Consider the following 19,008-nt stretch of genomic DNA (forward strand, 5'->3'; position numbering starts at 1 on the left):
CTGTCTCGAGCAGCAGGCATAGTACAATGTCAGGCCAGCACCAAAGGATTTTGTCTTCCTTGTAAGACAACATGGGGCAATAGAAAGCTCTGTATGGGCAATCTTGTAAATGGTATAATAATTATGATGCTTTTATAGACACCGCATGACCGTCCTTAGTCACCATAGCGATGGGATCTAATTATTACTGACTTGTTCATGTTGTGGGTTTTTAGTAACCCTACTGCCCACATTCTAGAATTTAAACACATGCTGTGAATATCCAAGCACAGGTCACAGAGATGACCTAGAGTTGGTGCTCAGTACACTTTTTTTGTTTTTTTGAGACCGAGTCTGGCTCTATCGCCCAGGCTGGAGTGCAGTGGTGCGATCTCAGCTCAGCGCAACCTCCGCCTCCTGGGTTCAAGTGATTTTCCTGCCTCAGCCTCCTGAGTAGCTGGGATTACAGAGCATGCACCACCATGCCCAGCTACTTTTTGTATTTTTAGTTTCACCATGTTGGCCAGGCTGGTCTTGAACTCCTGACCTCAGGTGATCTTCCCACTTTGGCCTCCCAAAGTGCTGGGATAACAGGTGTGAGCCACCGCGCCCGGCCTCAATACACATGTGATTGCCTTGAATGCATAGCAATGACCGAACATCAAGGTGAAACGCAAGCAACGCTGGGGAAGGAATGACCAATACGGTGCCCTCTGAGGCCTCAGCCCAGGGGCCATCTGGCTTGTCTGTCTCATTAGTACCATTGTTCCCTGTCAGCTTGTGGAAGAGCTGATTTGAAACCACCTGTTGGACCGAAGGAAGCCACTGACCAATACCTGTTCTGTGGGTGAAGCTGTCGCCCAGAGCACCCCCTGTGACTCCGTGGTCCTCTATGCACTAGTAGAAACTCTGTTTTTGCTGAATGGCACAGCCCACTACTAGCTGAATGTGGGGTGACAGTAGCCAGCATGAGAACCATCAAGACCATTATGGGCCAGGAGTTGGGTCACCCCTTCCTTGTCTAGGGTTGCAACAAGAAGTGACAGAGAGGGTCCCACAAGGTCTTTAAATCTCCCTCTGTAAGTTGTGGGAATTTCAGTAACTTGCTTGGTCCTTAGGGCTTTGAATCTGAGTCTGTAAAATGGGTGAAATAATATTTCTCTAAACAGGTTTATCATATGAATCAAAAGAAATTGTAGAAGGTGCCTAGCCAGGGTGCTTGGCACGTAGTAGGTGTTGAGTGAACGTTGGTTGCATTGCTTGGCTCCTCCTTAGTGAGCCTGTAGTAAACACAGTGCTGTGTAGACTAGGCAGGCCTTTCTCTCTTCTGCAATTCTGAGTGCTTTTTCTTAAGAACCAAGGGGTACTAACCCTTGTTTTAGAGACATTCAGAAACTAGCCAGGCGTAGTGGTGTGCACCTGTAGTCCCAGCTCCTCGGGAGGCTGAGGTGGGAGGATCACTTGATCCTGGGAGGTAGAGGTTGTGGTGACCTATGATTGCACCACTGCACTCCAGCCTGGACAACAGAGCAAGACCCTGTCTAAAAATAAATAAAATAAAATAAATAAATAAATGTAAACAAGGAAATAGAAAACGTTTATACTGATGGAGTCTCGCTGTGTCGCCCAGGCTGGAGTGCAGTGGCACGATCTTGGCTCACTGCAGCCTCCACCTCCCGGGTTCAAGTGATTCTCCTGCCTCAGCCTCCCAAGTAGCTGGAATTACAAGCATGTGCCACCACGCCCGTCTAATTTTGTATTTTTAGTAAAGACAGGGTTTCTCCATGTTGGTTAGGCTGGTCTCCAACTCCTGACCTCAGGTGATCCGCCCACCTCGACCTCCCAGAGTGCTGGGATTACAGGCATGAGCCACCTTGCCCGGCCCTTATGTATTTATTTTTTAAAGACAGGGTCTTGCTCTGTCACCCAGGCTGGAGTGCAGTGTTGGGATCATATCTCACTGTAACCCCCAATTCCTGGGCTCAAGTGATCCTCTAACCTCAGCCTCCTGAGTAGCGGGGACTACAGGTGTGCACCACCACACCTCACTAATTTTTTAATTTTCTGTAGAGATGGCGTTTCACTATGTTACCCAGGCTGGTCTCAAACTCCTGGCCTCAATCCATCCTCCCGCCTCAGCCTCTCAATGTGCTGGGATTACAGGCATGAGCCACTGTGCCTGTCCAGCAACAATATTTATAACAGCCCCCAAAAGGAAACAATCCAAGTATCCATCACCCATTGAATGGATAAACAAAATGTGGTATATCCATACGATGAAATGTTACTCAGGCATGAAGAGGAATGAAGGGCTTTTATGCATGCCACAACGTGGATGGACCTTGAAGACATTATTCTAAGTGAAAGAAACCAGTTACAAAGGGCCACTTATTGTGTGATTTTATTTATTTATTTATTTATTTATTTATTTATTTATTTATTTATTTGAGACACAGTCTCCCTCTCTCACGCAGGCTATAATGCAGTGGTGCAGTCTTGGCTCACTGCAACCTCCACCTCCCAGGTTCAAGCGATTCTCCTGCCTTAGCCTCCCGAGTAGCTGGGATTACAGGCGCCTGTCATCACACCCGACTAATTTTTTTGTATTTTTAGTAGAGACGGGGTTTCACCACGTTGGACAGGTTGGTCTCGAACTCCTGTCCTCAAGTGATCCTCCCGCCTTGGTCTCCCAAAGTGCTGGGATTACAGGTGTGAGCCTCCGCACCTGGCCTGTTTTTCCTTTTAAAGCCGTGACTCTATTTTCCCTTCTGGCCTTGGTGTGTGCTCTTCCCCACTCTGTCTCCTTCCCTTTTGAGTCCTTTCCATCAGGAAGCCCTCCTTAACCACTACCAGACTCACCCACACATGAACCGGCTCCCACCATCTGTTCTGTTTATTTTGGCAAGGAAATAAAGATGTGTCTTCCACCAGAAAAGCTGAGGCCACTACTCGATTCAGTTTGCCCTCCCTGCTGGGGCACAGGTGTCATGGCCTCCCTTAAGTGCTTATTAATTCCTGTGTTTCAGCTTTCATCCTTCCACCTGCTGCTAGGCCTCTGTGCACACAGTGCTTTGTGGAATTGCTCCCGTCTCTTCAGCTTAGCAGCGTGCCTTGAAGAGGAAGAGCTGCAGAGAAATTTTGAAAATAAATTGCTTTTTGAAAAATAATTTGACAGTAAGTCAGGGACCTTGAAAATATTTGTTCCCTTTGATTCAGAAATATTTCTAAGACAAATTCAGAAATTCTTTTTTTTTTTTTTTGAGACAAATTCTGTCTCTGTCTGCCCAGGCTGGAGTGCAGTGGTGCAGTCTTGGCTCACTGCAACCTCCGCCTCCCAGGTTCAAGTGATTCTCATGCCTCAGCCCCCCGAGTAGCTAGAACTGCAGGTGTGCACCAACACGCCCAGCTAATTGTTGTATTGTTTTATAGAAACAGGGATTTGTTGTGTTGCCCAGGCTAGTCTTGAACTCCTGAGCTTAAGCAATCTGCCTGCCTCGGCCTCCCAAAGTGCTGGGACTACAGGCATGTACCACTGCGCCTGGCCAGAATTTCTATTTTAAGGAACTTATCAGTGGCTTACAAAGACTTATGTTGAAAATATATCAATCCTGTTTTTCATGACTTTTTTAAAAACAGTTTTAATTTTTTTTTCTGTACTAGAAAATGCACTGTAACTTGACATTGTAATAGTGAAAATATAATGACATTTGAGAATTTATAACAAGAAAATGTTCACAATTTAATATATGAAAAGTAGAACAAAATTATATGTAGTATAAGACCGATCATGTTAAAAACATGGGCGGGCACGGTGGCTCACACCTGTAATCCCAGCACTTTGGGAGGCCGAGGTGGGTGGATCACGAGGTCAGGAGTTTGAGACCAGCCTGGCCAACATAGTGAAACCCCATCTCTACTACAAATACAAAGATTAGCCGAGCATGGTGGCAGGCACCTGTAATCCCAGCTACTCCAGAGGCCGAGGCAGGAAAATCCCTTGAACTCGGGAGGTGGAGGTTGCAGTGAGCTGAGCGAGATGGCACCACTGCATTCCAGCCTGGGCAACAACAGAGCGAGACTCCATCTGAAAAAAAAAAAAAAAGGAAAAGTATGTCCTGTAATATGCATGTAAAAAACTGGTAGAATGAAACCAAATAAGAGTTTGGATTATGTTTTCCTTAATTTTATGTTTTAAAATATAGCACATTTTCTTCACTAAACATGCTTTTAAATTTTTTAATTGACAAAGTTGTATATATTTATAGTGTATGGCATATTGTTTTGAAGTCTGGTAGAATGGCTAAATTGAGTTAATTAACATATGCATTACCTCACACCTTTTTTTGTGGTGAGAACACTTAAAATCTACTCTTAGCAGTCTTCAAGAGTACAACACATTGCTACTAACTATAGTCACCATGTTATACAATAGGTCTTTGTTTTTTTTTTTTTTTTTTTTTTTTTTTTTTGAGCGGAGTTTCACTCTTGTTGCCCAGGCTGGAGTGCAATGGCGCGATCTCGGCTCACTGCAACCTCTGCCTCCCAGGTTCAAGCGATTCTCCTGCCTCAGCCTCTGGAGCAGCCAGGATTACAGGCACCTGCCACCACGCCTGGCTAATTTTTTGTATTTTTAGTAGAGATGGGGGTTTCACCATGTTGCCCAGGCTGGTTTCTAACTCCTGACCTCAGGTGATCCACCTGCCTGGGCCTCCCAAAGTGTTGGGATTACAGGCGTGAGCCACCGCACCCAGCCTCAGTAGGTCTCTTGAACTGTATTTAATTTTAACTTTTTGTTTTGAAATAGTTTCAGATTTGCAAAAAAGTTGCAACAGCAGTGCTAACAATTCTTGAGCGCCCTTTACCCAGATTTCCCCATTGTTAATATTTTACCATATTTGCTTTATCAATGTGTGTGTGTGTGTGTGTAGATATATTTTTTCTTGAACTATTTGAGAATGAGTTGCAGATATGACCAAGATACTTGGTTACCCCTAAGTACTTCAGTGTGTATTTTCTTCAAGGCAAGGACAGTTTTTTTTTTTTTGGTAAGCAAAATACAGTGATCAATAGCAGGAAATTAACATTGATATCCTGTGTTGTCTAATCATAGAGTTTCTTTACATTTTGCCGTTAATATCTTTTACATCAGAAAAAATATGTTTTTTTCCTGGTCCAAGACCTCAGAGTGTGTGTGTGTGTGTGTGTGTGTGTGTGTGTGTGTGTGTGTGTGTGTGTCTTAGATCACTCAGTCTTTGTTTATCTTTCATGGCCTTAACATTTTTGAAAATGTGAGGCCGTGTCTTTGTCAACGTCTCACAGTTTGGTTTGGGTTTGTATAATTCCCTTATAACAAGATCCAGCTTCCACCCGAGGCAACAGAGTGAACAACAACAACAAAAAAAGAGGTGACCTGGGTGCTTTTACTACCCTACATTCAGATGTGGGAGCAAAGAAATGACTTAAAGTTGGAGTTTATATTTAAAAGGGAAGCGGAATGTAAGTTTGGAAAATTTGCAGGCTGGCCATGTGACAGAAAGAAAAAACTTTTTCAAGAGAATTCAAGCAGGCTGTGGAGCAACCGCTTGCTAGAGCGATTTGTAGATTTAAAAAGGAGCCAAGTGCTGATAGCCAAGACTGTGGGGAAAAAAAGGCCTTGAAGGCATTTCAGAGACCTTCCCGGCAGCCCCTCCCATTACAGTTGTGGAGGCCTCAGAGGGAAGAATGCTTTGTGGTTCAGGCCCAGTGCCAGGGACAGCCTCAGGACACTGCTCCTCACATCCCTGGCCATTCAGCTTCCAGCCTTGGCTCAAAGGGGCCCAGATACAGCTCAGGCTGCCACACTAGAGGGTGAAAGCCATGAGCCTTGGCCGCTTCAATGTGGTGGTGAGCCTGTGGGTGGACAGAATGCAAGAGTGAGGGAGGCTTGGCAGCCTCCACCTAGATTTCAGAGGATGTATGGGAAAGCCTGGGAAAGGGGCAGACCCCTTACCGAGAACCTCTGGTAGGAGAGGAATGTGGGACTGGAGGCCCCATACAGAGTTCTCACTGGGGCACTGCCTAGTGGAGCTGTGGGAAGGGGGCCACTGTCCTCCAGACCCCGGAATGGTAGATCCACCAGCATCTTACAACCTGTCCCTGGAAAAGCCACAGGCTGTGAGAGCAGCCTCGGATTGAACCCTGCAAAGCCACCAGGACAGAGCTGCCCAGGACCTTGGGAGCCCACCCTTCGCACCAGCACGCCCTGGATGTGAGACATGGAGTCAAAAGGAGATTATTTGGGAGCTTTAAGATTTAATGACTGTCTGCCAGGTGCGGTGGCTCACACCTGTAATCCCAGCACTATGGGAGGCCGAGGTGGGAGTGCATTGGCGCTATCTCAGTTCACTGCAACCTCCACTTCCTGGGTTCAAGCGATTCTCCTGCCTTAGCCTCCCAAGTAACTGGGACTACAGGCACCCACCACCATGCCCAGGTAATTTTTGTATTTTTAGTAGGGACAGGGTTTCATCATGTTGGCCAGGTTGGTCTCGAATCCTGACCTCAGGTGATCTGCCCCCGTCGGCCTCCCAAAGTGCTGGGATTATAGGCTTGAGCCACTGCGCCTGGCTGGAGGGACCGGTTTTTTAATTGAGAGGGTTGGTACTTCTCCCTTCCTGCCTTTTTCCAAGGGCTGCTCGGGGCTTGTGTGTGTGTGTGTGTGTGTGTGTGTGTGTGTGTGTGTGTGTGTGTGTGTTTCAAAGACAGAGATCTGTATTTATTAACTCAGGTCAGACACTTGGGATTTTTCACCAGGCATCATCACCAATCAGCCAGCTCAGATTAATTAATATTAATTTGGTTGGTCTGTTCCCAGGCCCTTGGTGTGCAGGCACTTTCTGTCATTAAGTCCTTGTGACCCAGCCTCGTGTGACACATCTCCCATGATGGGGAGCCACTCCCCCAATAGCGCATTCTATGTTCAGACTCCTTTATTAGAACGTCTTTGCTTGGAGGGGTTGTAAACCTCTCTCCTCTATGACCACTCCTATTTCTGAATGCCAGGCCTCTCCCTTTGGCAGTTTTCTGACCACCTAAAGAAGGGATCAAGTACCTCTGAATCTTCTTTTCTTAGGATTAACTTTTCCAGTGTCTTTACTGTTTCTTTCTTTCTTTTTTTTTTTTTTTTTTTTTTTGAGAGATGGTCTCGCTCTGTCACCCAGGCTAGAGTGCAATGACACAATCATCATGGCTCACTGCAGCCTCTGCAGCCTCTAACTCCCGGGCTTAAGTAATCCTTCTGCCTCAGCCTCCTGAGTAGTTGGGACTACAGGTGCATGCTGCGACACCTGGATAATTTTTTTTTTTTTTTGAGATGGAGGGGGTGGTCTCACTTTGTTGCCCAGGCTGGTCTCGAACCTCTGGCCTCAGCACTTCTCCAGCCTCGGCCTCCCAAAGTGCTGAGATTATAGGCGTGAGCCACTATGCCTGTTTCTCTTGTGACAGGTGTTGGGGACTACTGTGCCCTAGAGCCACTTTCTGAGTGTTGCAGTTTGTCTTTGATGTTCAATGTGGAGCTCATTTGGAATTCTATTAAAGAATCCTTAGTGTGCCTTCCCTTTTGGGGAAGCCATGTTGACTTCGGCCCATCCTATTCTCATTTCGGTAAAGGAGGAGGGAGTAGCACTGCCCATGCTGTGGGCTTGCTGCCGTGGACTTGCTGTAGGAATTGTAACACATGCGTGTGTGGGCAGGGGGTTGGGGGGCAGGTGGCATTCTGATTGCCTCCAGGTGATCTCTCCAGACTGTTGCCCCTGCGCTGGAGGCAGAAGCCGACTTCAGAACTGATCTGCCCAGATTTGAGAAAAGTAAAGCAAGACCCCTGGCTCTGTTTCTCTTATTATTATTAATTTTTTTTTTTTTTTTTTTTTGAGACCGAGTCCTGCTCTGTCACCCAGGCTGGAGTGCAGTGGCGCGATCTTGGCTCACTGCAAACTCCACCTCCCGGGTTCATGCCATTCTCCTGCCTCAGCCTCCCAAGTAGCTGGGATTACAGGCGCCCGCCACCACACCCGGCTAATTTTTTTGTATTTTTAGTAGAGACGGGGTTTCACCGTGCTAGCCAGGATGGTCTCGATATCCTGACTTCGTGATCCGCCTGCCTCGGACTCCCAAAGTGCTGGGATTACAGGCGTGAGCCACCGCATCCGGCCGCTGTTTCTGTTTTCTATATTTTTATTCAAAATTAATTGAGGCAATCAGCTAGGCTTGGTGGCTCATGCCTGCAATCCCAGCACTTGGGAGGCCAAGGCAGGTGGATCAGTTGAGATCGGGAGTTTGACATCAGCCTGGACAACGTGGTGAAACCCCATCTCTACAAAAAAAAAAAAAAAACAAAAAAACCAAAAATTAGCCAGGCATGTTGGCGGGTGCCTGTAATTCCAGCTACCTGGGAGGCTGAGGCAGGAGAATTGCTTGAACCTGGGAGGCGGAGGTTGCAGTGAGCCTAGATTGTGCCACTGTACTCCAGCCTGGGGACAAGAGCCAGACCCTGTCTCAAAAAAAAAAAAAAAAAAAAAAAAAAGAAGGCCGTGTTTGGTGGCTCACGTCTGTAATCCCAGCACTTTGGAAGGCTGAGGGGGTGGATCACCTGAGGTCAGGAGTTTGAGACCAGCCTGGCCAGCATGGCGAAACCCCATCTCTACTAAAAATACAAAAATTAGCCAGGCGTGGTGGCAGGCACCTGTAATCCCAGCTACTCGGGAGGCTGAGGCAGGAGAATCGCTTGAACCTGGGAGGCAGAGGTTGCAGTGAGCCGAGATCGTGCCATTGCACTCCAGCCTGGGCGACAAGAGCAAAACTCCATCTAAAAAAAAAAACAATTGAGGCAAAAGTGGGGATGGTCAGGAGGATGAACCAGCGTGAACTCCTGTGGAGAGTTTTGTGCCTGTAAATCACCTTGTGCCACCTTTTAATGTTGACGCTGGATTATATCCATGCAATGCCCTGGAGCTTAGGGGAGCTGTGGTCTCGTCCCCTTGGCATTCAAGCCAAGGAGCCAAGGCCGCAGAGATGCTGCTAGAAGCAGGCACGGGGAGCTGCAGCTGCAGCATCAGCCCCTGTGGGCCTGGTCAGTTCGATTTGTGCTGAGTCATGCCCACTGTTCGCCTGCTGTCCCTCCTGTCCCCCCAGTCACGCTTGCACAGATCTGACTCAGCAGCTGCCTTCCTCCTTTCACGTCATTGCATCGGGCACATGCTGGTCATGTGTTTCTAAATTAAGTCCTGTTGTGTGGGGAAAAGGCCATCAGCTGGGAGCGTTTGGCCATGGCCATCTTCAGTGGAGAATGTTCTCCAGGATACCTTGGTGAAAGCCCCGTGACTGCATTGATATTAGGGGTGCAGGCATCGTTGTACAGTAGTACCTTCCTGTAGCAGCATTCTGATCACAGCACCCCCTTGCCCTGTCCTCACCAGCTTCCCCAGGGCCAAACACCTTAGACTGGCATACAGGCCCCTAGGCCCTTACGCACTCATCTGGGTGTCTCTTAAAAGTTTATCTCGGCCGAGTGTGGTGGCTCTTACCTGTTATCCCAGCACTTTGGGAGGCCAAGATGGGAGGATTGCTTGAGCCTAGGAGTTTGAGACCAGCCTGGGCAACTTAGTGAGACCCCATCTCTACAAAAAAATTTAAAAAATCAGCTGGTATGGTGGTGCATGCCTATGGTCTCAGCTATGCAGGAGGCTGAGGGAGGAGGATTGCTTGAGCCCAGGAGTTAGAGGCTGCAGTGAGCTGTGATCACACCACTGCACTGCAGCCTTGGTGACTCCAGCCTGTTCCGTGAATGAATGAATGCTTATCTCTTATTCGCCATCTATGCATCCCCACATAAAAACACATCCCATTGCACCACACTTGAGTTACCCCAGACCCCGAGTTTCTCGTGTTCTAGGCTCTGGTACACGCTTCCTCTATCGGTAGCTTCGCTCATCCCCCTAATCTGACTGGTGGACCCTGATCATTCTTCACAATCCAGCCCAGATGTTGGCCTCTGGGAGCCCCTTCCTTGACTGTTTCAGACTGTCATGCCTGCTTTTTCCTTCCAGCTCTATTTCCCCTGCACCTGGCCTCCCCATGCAGCCGTGACTGTTGGGATAGGTCTGCCCTTTCTCATAGCAGGAGGACACCTTGGGGCAAGGTTGGCATGTCTGCTCCTGCCTGAACCCACACAGTTCCTGGAGTGCAGCAGGTGCTCCTCAGCTGTTTGCTGCACGCATGGACGTAAGAGTGACAGAAGCATGTCCTTCGACATGACGTTTTTGTACCTGAACATTGTCTAGAGGCTTTCCAGACTGTAAGCTCTGTGGGATTAGGAGCCTGCCTGCCTCGCACTCCCTGGCATCCTTAGTGCTTTGGGCCTCACAGGCCAGCGGAGCCCTCGTGCGGGTTCCAGGCCTGCTTTGGTGGGAGTGCTCAGTACTTTTAGCCACACAGAGCCGTGGCCTGCAAGGCTTTCGGAGTACATCTCTAGCACATCTGAGAATCCGGAAGCAACTCAGAGTTTCTGGAATGGATTTCACAAAGTCTGTGAATAAGAAGGCCCCACAGGCCCTACTCAACAGCTTTTTTTTTTTTTTTTTTTTTTAAATACAGAAGATGCTAGTCTTCAAAGAACCTCTTTACTCTTTTACTCTTTTTCTTTTTTTTTCGAGACAGAGTCTCATTCTATCGCCCAGGCTGGAGTGCAGTGGCATGATCTTGGCTCACTGCAACCTTCACCTCCTAGGTGCAAGTGATTCTCCTGCCTCAGCAGCCTCCAGAGTAGCTGGAATTACAGGGGTGCGCCACCATACTTGGCTAATTTTTGTATTTTTAGTAGAGACTGGGTTTCCCAATGTTGGCCAGGCTGGTCTCGAGCTCCTGACCTCAAGTGATCCACCCGCCTCAGCCTCCCAAAGTGTTGGGATTACAGGCGTGAGCCACCGCACCTGGCCCTCTTTACTCTTATTATATAGTGATGGGGTCTTGCTTTGTTGCCCAGGCTGGAGTGCAGGGATACTCACTGCAGCCTCAACCTGCAGGGCTCAAGTGATCTCCTGCCTTACCTCCCAAATAGCTGGGACTACAGACCTGAGCCAACGCTCCCCACCTCTTTACTCTTATTTTATTTTATATTTATTTATTTATTGAGACGGAGTCTCACTGTGTTGCCCAGGCTGGAGTGCAATGGTGTCATCTTGGCTCACTGCAGCCTCCGCCTCCTGGGTTCAAGTGATTCTCCTGCCTCAGCCTCCCAAGTACCTGGGATTACAGGCACGCACCACCACGCCTGGCTAGTTATTTTTGTATTTTTAGTAGAGATGGGGTTTCGCCATGTTGGCCAGGCTGGTCTCAAACTCCTGACCTCAGGTGATCCACCTGCCTCAGCCTCCCAAAGTGCTGGGATTCCAGGCGTGAGCCGCTGTGCCTGGCTTACTCTTATCTTAGATATCACGCTAACAAGCAGCTGATTTCCCAATTTACGCAGATTCAAAGCAGCCAATTAGAAATGGGTGAGAGACTTTTGAAAAAAAACGTAGGCACTCTCGTGGCCGGGTGCAGTGGCTCACACCTGTAATACCAGCACTTTGGGAGGCTGAGGCAGGTGGATCACGAAGTCAGGAGATCGAGACCATCCTGGCTAATATGGTGAAACCCCATCTCTACTAAAAACACAAAAAATTAGCCGGGTGTGGTGGCAGGCGCCTGTAGTCCCAGCTACTCAGGAGGCTAAGGAAGGAGAATGGCGTGAACCCAGGAGGCGGAGCTTGCTGTCAGCTGAGATTGCGCCACTGTACTCCAGCCTGGACGACAGAGCAAGACTCCATCTCAAAAAAGAAAAAAGAAAAAACGTAGGCACTCTCATAATGGTGAGGGTCATCCTGCCTCAAGAAAAGACAAACACTATCAACAACAAAGATGCAGGGGCCGGGTGTGCTGGCTTACACCTGGAATCCCAGGACTTTGGGAGGCCAAGGTGCGAGGATCGCTTGAGCCCAGGAGTTTGAGACCAGCCTGGGCAACCAAGCGAGACCCCATCTCTACAGAAATAAAAGTTTTTAAAAAATTAGCTCGGTGAGGTGGTGCATACCTATAGTCTCAGCTACTTGGGAGGCTAAGGTGGGAGGATGGCTTGAGGCCAGGAGTATGAGGGTGCAGTGAACTATGCTACTGCTTTCCACCCTGGGTAACAGAGTGAGACTGTGTCTCTCAAAACAAGCAAACAGACCAAAAAGATGCAGGAACCTGAGATCCCACAGCCTGGGTTCCCTCTGTGTGCAAGCAACCTCTCCTGCCTCTTTAGGCCCTAAGTATGTTGTACAATGACACGATGGCCGAGTAGTCTACAAAAGGAACCGTGCGTGGACTCGAGACAGCATGGACATGGTTCACGTATTCCGGAAGTATTTCTCTAGCTGTGTAGAATTTTAGAGCTGAGGATGATCCTTGGTGACCAGCTCCATATTGCTTTGTGGAGAAGAAACCTGAGTCCTGGGAGGTCAAGTAACCCGTTCAGACTCCCACAACCAGAGCCTCCGGCATCTGTACTGCCCAGTCAGTACAGAGCTCCGGTAACTAGGTGCACTTCAGTTATCTAGAGTAGGCGCTAATAACTTATTTCTTGTCAGAGGCCAGGTAATAAATATTTTTTAGGCTTTGCATGCCAAGAAGTAAAATCTAGGATGTTATATATAATGAGAGGCAACAAGTTTCCATGTTTTTTGTTGATGAAATTCAAATAAGGCTGGTTGCGGTGGTTCACACCTGTAATCCCAGCACTTTGGGAGGCCAAGGCGGGAGAATTGCTTGAGCCCAGGTGTTTGAGACCAGCCTGGGCAACTTAGCCAGACCCTGTCTCTATAATTTGAAATATATATTTTTAAAAGAAATTCGAGTAATAACTAATAACAGTTGAGTGCAAGTTTTTAATACAGGTTTGTTAATAAGAAGAATGGAATGATTTTTGTAGGGATAACAATTTTGGGCCAGGTGCCATGACTCACGCCTCTAATCCCAGCACTCTTGGAGGCTGAGGTGGGAGGATCGCTTGAGTCCAGGAGTTTGAGACCAGCCTGGGCAACATGGCTAACCCCTGTCTCTACAAAAAAATATTTAAAAAGTTAGCTGGGCATGGTGGGTAGTATACACCTGTAGTCCCAACTACTGTGGAGACTGAGGTGGGAGGATCACTTGAGCCCAGAAGGCTGAGGCTGGAGTGAGCTGCGATTGTGCCACTGCACTGCAGTCTGGGTGACAAAGCAAGACCCAGTCTCAAAAAAACAAAAAACAGAAAACAATTTTGTTTCATTGGGGTTCTGAATTAGTGTTCCCAAACATCAAAATCTGTTGCAAATATCCCCGTGTCAGTGCTCATCTGTAATGAGATTGTATAGGTGACATCTTTGAAAATATCTTTTCACACAAATAGGTACTGCCAAGTTATATTGGTCAGGGAGCATAAATTTTGATGGGGCATTTTAATCATTGGAAGACAGCATTTATAGATTTTTTTTTTTAGATTCCCCTCTTGATATTTGCCTTTTTGCATTATTGCATTGCAGATCAGCCACTTCCAATTGAAGGTTAGATGAGAGCTGCTCAATTGTACAGTTAAATGGATTTTAAAATATGGGAATTTCCTTCATACTTAGATCAAGATCTGAAAAACGCTGCTAGGGCTAGAACTAGCAGCTCAAAGTTTTTGTTTTTTTTGAGCTCAAGGTTTGAGCTCAAAAAAATGTGCAAAGGTTTTTCACTTGTTCTAACCTTGACAGTCTAGGAATTGTATGGCGCAGGTTGACATTACTTGTGATTCATACAATGTTAATTTCATTGAAATGACTTTACCGCAATATAAGTTTTGCATATAACTGCTGTTTTGCCTTATAATTTTAGATTGGCCTCATTAAGAAACATCAAGTCTGCAGCAAAAGCTAATTTCCAAAGCGATTTAGTATTTGGTAATAGTGGTTGAGGGCAGTTCTTTCTTTTTTCTTTTTCTTTTTTTTTTTTTATTGAGATGGAGTCTTGCTCTGTCACCCAGGCTGGAGTGCAGTGGCATGATCTCGGCTCATTACAACCTCCACCTCCCAGGTTCAAGTGTTTCTTCTGCCTCAGCCTCCTGAGTAGCTGGGACTACAGGCACGTGGCACCACACCCAGCTAATTTTTTGTATTTTTAGTAGAGATGGGGTTTCACCGTGTTAGCCAGGATGGTCTCGATCTCCTCACCTTGTGATCCGCCTGCCTCGGCTTCCCAAAATGCTGGGTTTACAGGCATGAGCCACCGTGCCCGGCCCTCTCTTTTTTTATTTTTTATTTTTATTTTTAGACTAAGAGGGCAGTACTTTTCAGTTATTCTTGTTCAGAAAAGATTTAATATTCACTCTGAGCTCAAAATAGTCACACCAGACTTTACCACTGCTAAGCTGCTGAACTGCTGTATGGTAGGCCAGTTAGGATATTCAGCTTCTATTTTTGACAAAAATCCTTAAGACCAACTTAGGTTAAGTCCATGAGAGCAGATACTGTTGACATTCCCTTGTTCGATCACATATAATAGATTCAAATTTTTTGCATAATATCTGCTGGTGAATAATATAGTGAACAACCATAGGCTCCAACTAAGCCTTTTTCTGCCCCCCACATTCATTATAACACATCTTAGTGGATTCCATTTCAGATTGTACTAAACTTTTCTCAACTTCTTTGAAAATGCTCTTATTTGTAGTTGTTTCATGCTAATTCTTCAAACTTGGTATTGACTCCCCAAGTAAACAACAACTGAAAAGTATTGGTAACGTCTTTAGATTCATCAAGAGCCAAGGAATTGCATTCTTAAACCCTCTTGGTGGCTTCCCTGTAAATGCTTCCAAGATATGAGCGAATGCTATAGAAATTGCAGGAAAGTCCAAAGGGCTGCGCGTCTCCTGTGGCTCAGTCTTATTTCATACCTGCAACATCTTTTAAGGGAAATTTGCAAAAGGGAGAATTATCAACTTAAAAAAAAAATAGCCAAGGAAACCTCGACTCTTCAAGGAAGCAAGGAAACGTGCTCTCCTTGGGAGTGACATTAGAGGAGGCCCAGTGTGAGTCAGGACTTCATCACCACCTGGCGGAACCAGGGAGCCCCACCCCATGTGTCAGTGGAGATCATGTGCTGTCTTCCCTCTCCAAGCTAGGGTTTGTCAGCAGAGGCCCAGGAGGGAGACTGAATCTCGCCTGACAGCAATGAACTGATACCTTCCTTCCCTATAAGCAGGTGACAGACAATATTTAATAAAATCAAAAAAGGCTGGGTGCAATGGCTTACACCTGTAATCCCAACACTTTGGGAGGCCAAGGTGGGTGGATCACTTGAGGCCAGGAGTTTGAGACCAGCCCCAGCAACATGGTGAGACCCTGTCTTTACTAAAAATACAAAAAAATAAATTAGCCAGGCGTGGTGGCACACGCCTGTAATCACAGCTACTCTGGTGGCTGAGGCATGAGAATCAGTTGAACCTGGGAGGCAGAGATTGCAGTGCACTGAGATCACACAATTGCACTCCAGCCTGGGCAATAGAGACAGACTCTGTCTCAAAAATAAAATAGGCTTAAATAAGATTCAGGATCTTAAAGTACCCAGAATGCCCAGAATACAATAAAAATCAATCACTATACCAAGAACCACAAAACTCTCAACTTGAATGAGAAAAGAGAGTCAACAGACACCAGCATCAGGATGACACAGATGTTGGAATTAAGATATAGAGAAGAATGAAACAGATGTCTTAGAACCGAAATATACAATAGTCAAAATAGGAAACTGAATGGATGACTCCACAGCAAAATGGAGGAGACAGAAGAGAGAATCCATGAACTTGAAGTTAGAGCAGTAGAAATCACCTAACCTAAACAACAGAAAATAGACTGAAAACCAAAACAAAACAAATGAACAGAGCCTCAGGATTTTGTGGGACTAATAACAAAAGATCTGACTTTCATGTCACCCAAGTCCCAGGAGAAGAAGAGAAAGAGAGTGAGGCTGAAAAGTTATTTAAAAAATAATGGCGGCCGGGCACGGTGGCTCACTCCTATAATCCCAGCACTTTGGGAGACAGAGGTGGGCAGAATCTCAGGAGTTCATTACCAGACTGGGCAATGTGGCAAAACCCTGTCTCTACTAAAAATACAAAAATTAGCCAGGTGTGGTGAGGCACACCTGTAGTCCCACCTACTCAGGAGGCCTGAGGCAGGAGGATCCCTTGAGCCCGGAGGATCCCTCAAGCCCAGAAAGTTGAGGCTTCAGTGAACAGTGATTGCACCACTATGCCTCCAGCCTGGGTGATAGAGCAAGACCTTGTCTCCTAAAACAAAAAAGAAAAGAAAAGAAAAGTTGCTATATTTTGCAAAAGACATAAATCTACAGATTCAAGAAACTGAGTGAACCCCACAGAAGGTAAACACAAAGAAATCTGCACCAACATCTCAGTACAGATAATAAACTTCCTGGGTACTCTGGCTATTGTGGCTGTGGAGCGATCTGTCTGAGTCACTCTTGGACACTGCTTTTTAACAGGTCACCTTGGAGAGTGTAGTGTTCCCCGAGTACCTCTCAGTCCCTGTGGGTTGCGCTGTCAGGCAACAGTAGGGTATGGTTCCATGAGGGTTTTCCCTCATCTTGAAGCCACTAAACCTTGGCAGAGGGGCTTGTGAACCTGAATGACCCCGCTCCCCCTGCAGCCAGAAGGTGCAGCCCCTGGTGCCAGAGCCTTGTCTAGGTGGCCCTGACATGACAGTGACAGCTAAAGGGTTGACTAAATTACAAGTTTTATTCTTTCCTTTCTTGTTACTGCTTTGATTGGGGTGTCTGACTCACCCCAATATCAGTGCTGAGTTGGTTGCTCAATCTTTTTTACGGACCAGAAGTTGCAAACAGTAAATGCAAAACTGCAAATACTTCCTGGAAGATAACCTGTTCCAGTGTTGCAAATGGTTGGCCTCAGAGAGCCCTTGTGTTCTTGCGTCATTCTCCCTTTCAGAAGCTGGTGAGGCTCCTGCCAGTGCCCCCCAGCCTGTGTGCTCCCTGATTTATTTGTCCATCTTGCTCAGTGGTGTGTGGGAGGGACTGGAGCTGTTGCCCTTGATTGCTACCTTGGTGGGAACCAGCCAGCTACCGAAATTGACAGGGAATCGTGGTCAAGCTATACATGCATAGTTTTTACCCTTCTCTGTATGTTGTATTTTATAATAATGAAAACATGTAGAGACCTAATTTATAATAAAAGTCAGGTCTGCTCTATTTAGAGTTGGGGAGATCTAGTTGGCTGGTATTCTGACATGTGCCTTTTTCTGTGCCTAATTTTTTCTTGAGACAGGACCTCACTCTGTTGCCTAGACTACAGTGTAGTGGTGTGATTATGGCTCACCGCAACCTCAACCTCCTGGGCTCAGGTGATCCTCCTACCTCGGCCTGCCACATAGCTGGGACTACAGGTGCGCACCGTCACACCTGGCTAACTTTTGTATTTTGTGGTAGAAGTGGGGTTTTGCCATGTTACCCAGGTTGGTCTCAAACTCCTGAGCTCAAGTAATCTGCCCGCCTTGGCCTCCCAAAGTGCTGAGATTAAAGGCATGAGCCACTGCACCCAGCTCTGTACCTAATTTTACAGATGAGAACATGAAAGCCTTCTGTTGGTAAGGGGTGTGTCTGGGGTCCCAGCCAGCTGGTGTGGCGGGGCTGTGGCAAGAGCCTGGTCTAGTTCTTGTTTGCTGTTTGGATTGATACTGTGTTTGGCCCCATGAGCTCTGCCTTGTCTCTTGTTCCTTTTGCTGAAGGTATAAAGAAGAAACTCAGAGATTAAAGACTCTTTCAGGGCAGAAGGCTCACACAGGCTTCCAGAACCTCCTCGGAGCGATTGTAGGGACTGCCTGACCCGGAAGAGAGTTGTCAGTCAAGACCGCCAGAGTTTTCCCATCAGAGTATTTGGCATAGCAGAGGTGGCTCCCAAACTGTGCCAGGGCACTGCAGCAAACTCACAAGTGATCATTCTCAATGCGGCGGACGCTCAAGTCTGTTGAACTCCATGCGAAGTGCTAGCTTGGGACAGTTCACGGTTCCAACGTGAGATCCTTGCTGCATTCCTTCTTAGGATTTTACATCTTTGCGAAGCTGGGTTTGCAGTGGTTGTTCAGACCTAACTATACGTGGAACTGTTAGGCATTTTTTTTTGGCCTACGGATACCATTAAAAATTTGCTGAGATACCAGGGACTCCACAAACGAAGGACATTTGGGATCTGTCCAGACAGGTACACTGGAAGCCCAATGTGTGTTTTATTTGTTAATTGATTGATTGATTGAGACAGTCTTGCTCTGTTGCCCAGGCTGGAGTGCAAGTGGCACGATCTTGGCTCACTGCAACCTCCGCCTCCCGGGTTCAAGCGATTCTCCTGCCTCAGCCTCCCAAATAGCTGGGATTACAGGTGTCTGCCACCATGACCTGCTCGCAGCACCACGCCCAGCTAATTTTTGTATTTTTAGTAGAGACGGGGTTTCACCATGTTGGCCAGGCTGGCCTCAAACTCCTGACCTCAAGTGATATGCCTGCCTCAGCCTCCCAAAGTGCTGTGATTACAGGCGTTAGCCACCACGGCCGGCCCCAATGTGTGTTTTAAATCTTTGCGCTTAAATGTTTTTGATTTCTGCACATTTTGTGTTGCACGTGTCATAATGCATTCACCGATTCCCTTCATTCCCTTGAGTAGTTATTGCGCCCTGGATTCTGCGCCAAGGAAGTGTGTGCTGGGGAGGGGATGGTGGAGCTGAGGTCTGAAGAATGAGTACGAAGCTTCGAGAGGAGGAGCATCTCAGACACCTGTCAGGCTCTGGGGCAGGACCGCAGAGGTGCAAGCTGGAGAGTGGCTCAGGGTGGGGCTGGAGAGATGGGTGTGTGTCTGTGTGCGCGTCAAGGGGAAAACGGTTAAGTTTCTTAACCCAGGGGCTCATTTGTGGCCTCAGCCCCCAGGCACAC

General features: G+C 47.1%; 1 protein-coding gene and 1 non-coding gene across 8 annotated transcripts in view, besides 2 other annotated features; both read left to right on the forward strand.

The window, feature by feature from the left end:
* POR (cytochrome p450 oxidoreductase) overlaps window positions 1-19,008 on the forward strand; it is a 71,701-nt gene that overhangs the window by 13,804 nt on the left and 38,889 nt on the right. The window contains exon 2 of one of the 7 annotated variants that reach the window (NM_001382658.3): window positions 17,814-18,286. The exons of the other annotated variants lie outside the window; for them this stretch is intronic. The gene's annotated coding sequence lies outside the window, so the exon portion shown is untranslated. The remainder of the gene's footprint in view (window positions 1-17,813; window positions 18,287-19,008) is intronic. 7 annotated transcript variants of the gene reach the window in all.
* Window positions 5,629-6,457: an enhancer, noted in NCBI's record as "H3K27ac-H3K4me1 hESC enhancer chr7:75563905-75564733 (GRCh37/hg19 assembly coordinates)". NCBI's record gives its function as "activates a minimal SCP1, AML or CMV promoter by ChIP-STARR-seq in primed H9 embryonic stem cells {active_cell/tissue: H9 hESC(primed)}" and the evidence as "EXISTENCE:reporter gene assay evidence [ECO:0000049][PMID:30033119]".
* Window positions 8,055-8,668: an enhancer, noted in NCBI's record as "H3K27ac-H3K4me1 hESC enhancer chr7:75566331-75566944 (GRCh37/hg19 assembly coordinates)". NCBI's record gives its function as "activates a minimal SCP1, AML or CMV promoter by ChIP-STARR-seq in primed H9 embryonic stem cells {active_cell/tissue: H9 hESC(primed)}" and the evidence as "EXISTENCE:reporter gene assay evidence [ECO:0000049][PMID:30033119]".
* SNORA14A (small nucleolar RNA, H/ACA box 14A) lies at window positions 14,825-14,958 on the forward strand. The gene has a single exon (NR_002955.1). It is a non-coding gene; the product is annotated as a small nucleolar RNA, H/ACA box 14A (small nucleolar RNA).

Source organism: Homo sapiens, chromosome 7 (assembly GCF_000001405.40).
Source record: "Homo sapiens chromosome 7, GRCh38.p14 Primary Assembly".
NCBI lineage: Eukaryota > Metazoa > Chordata > Mammalia > Primates > Hominidae > Homo > Homo sapiens.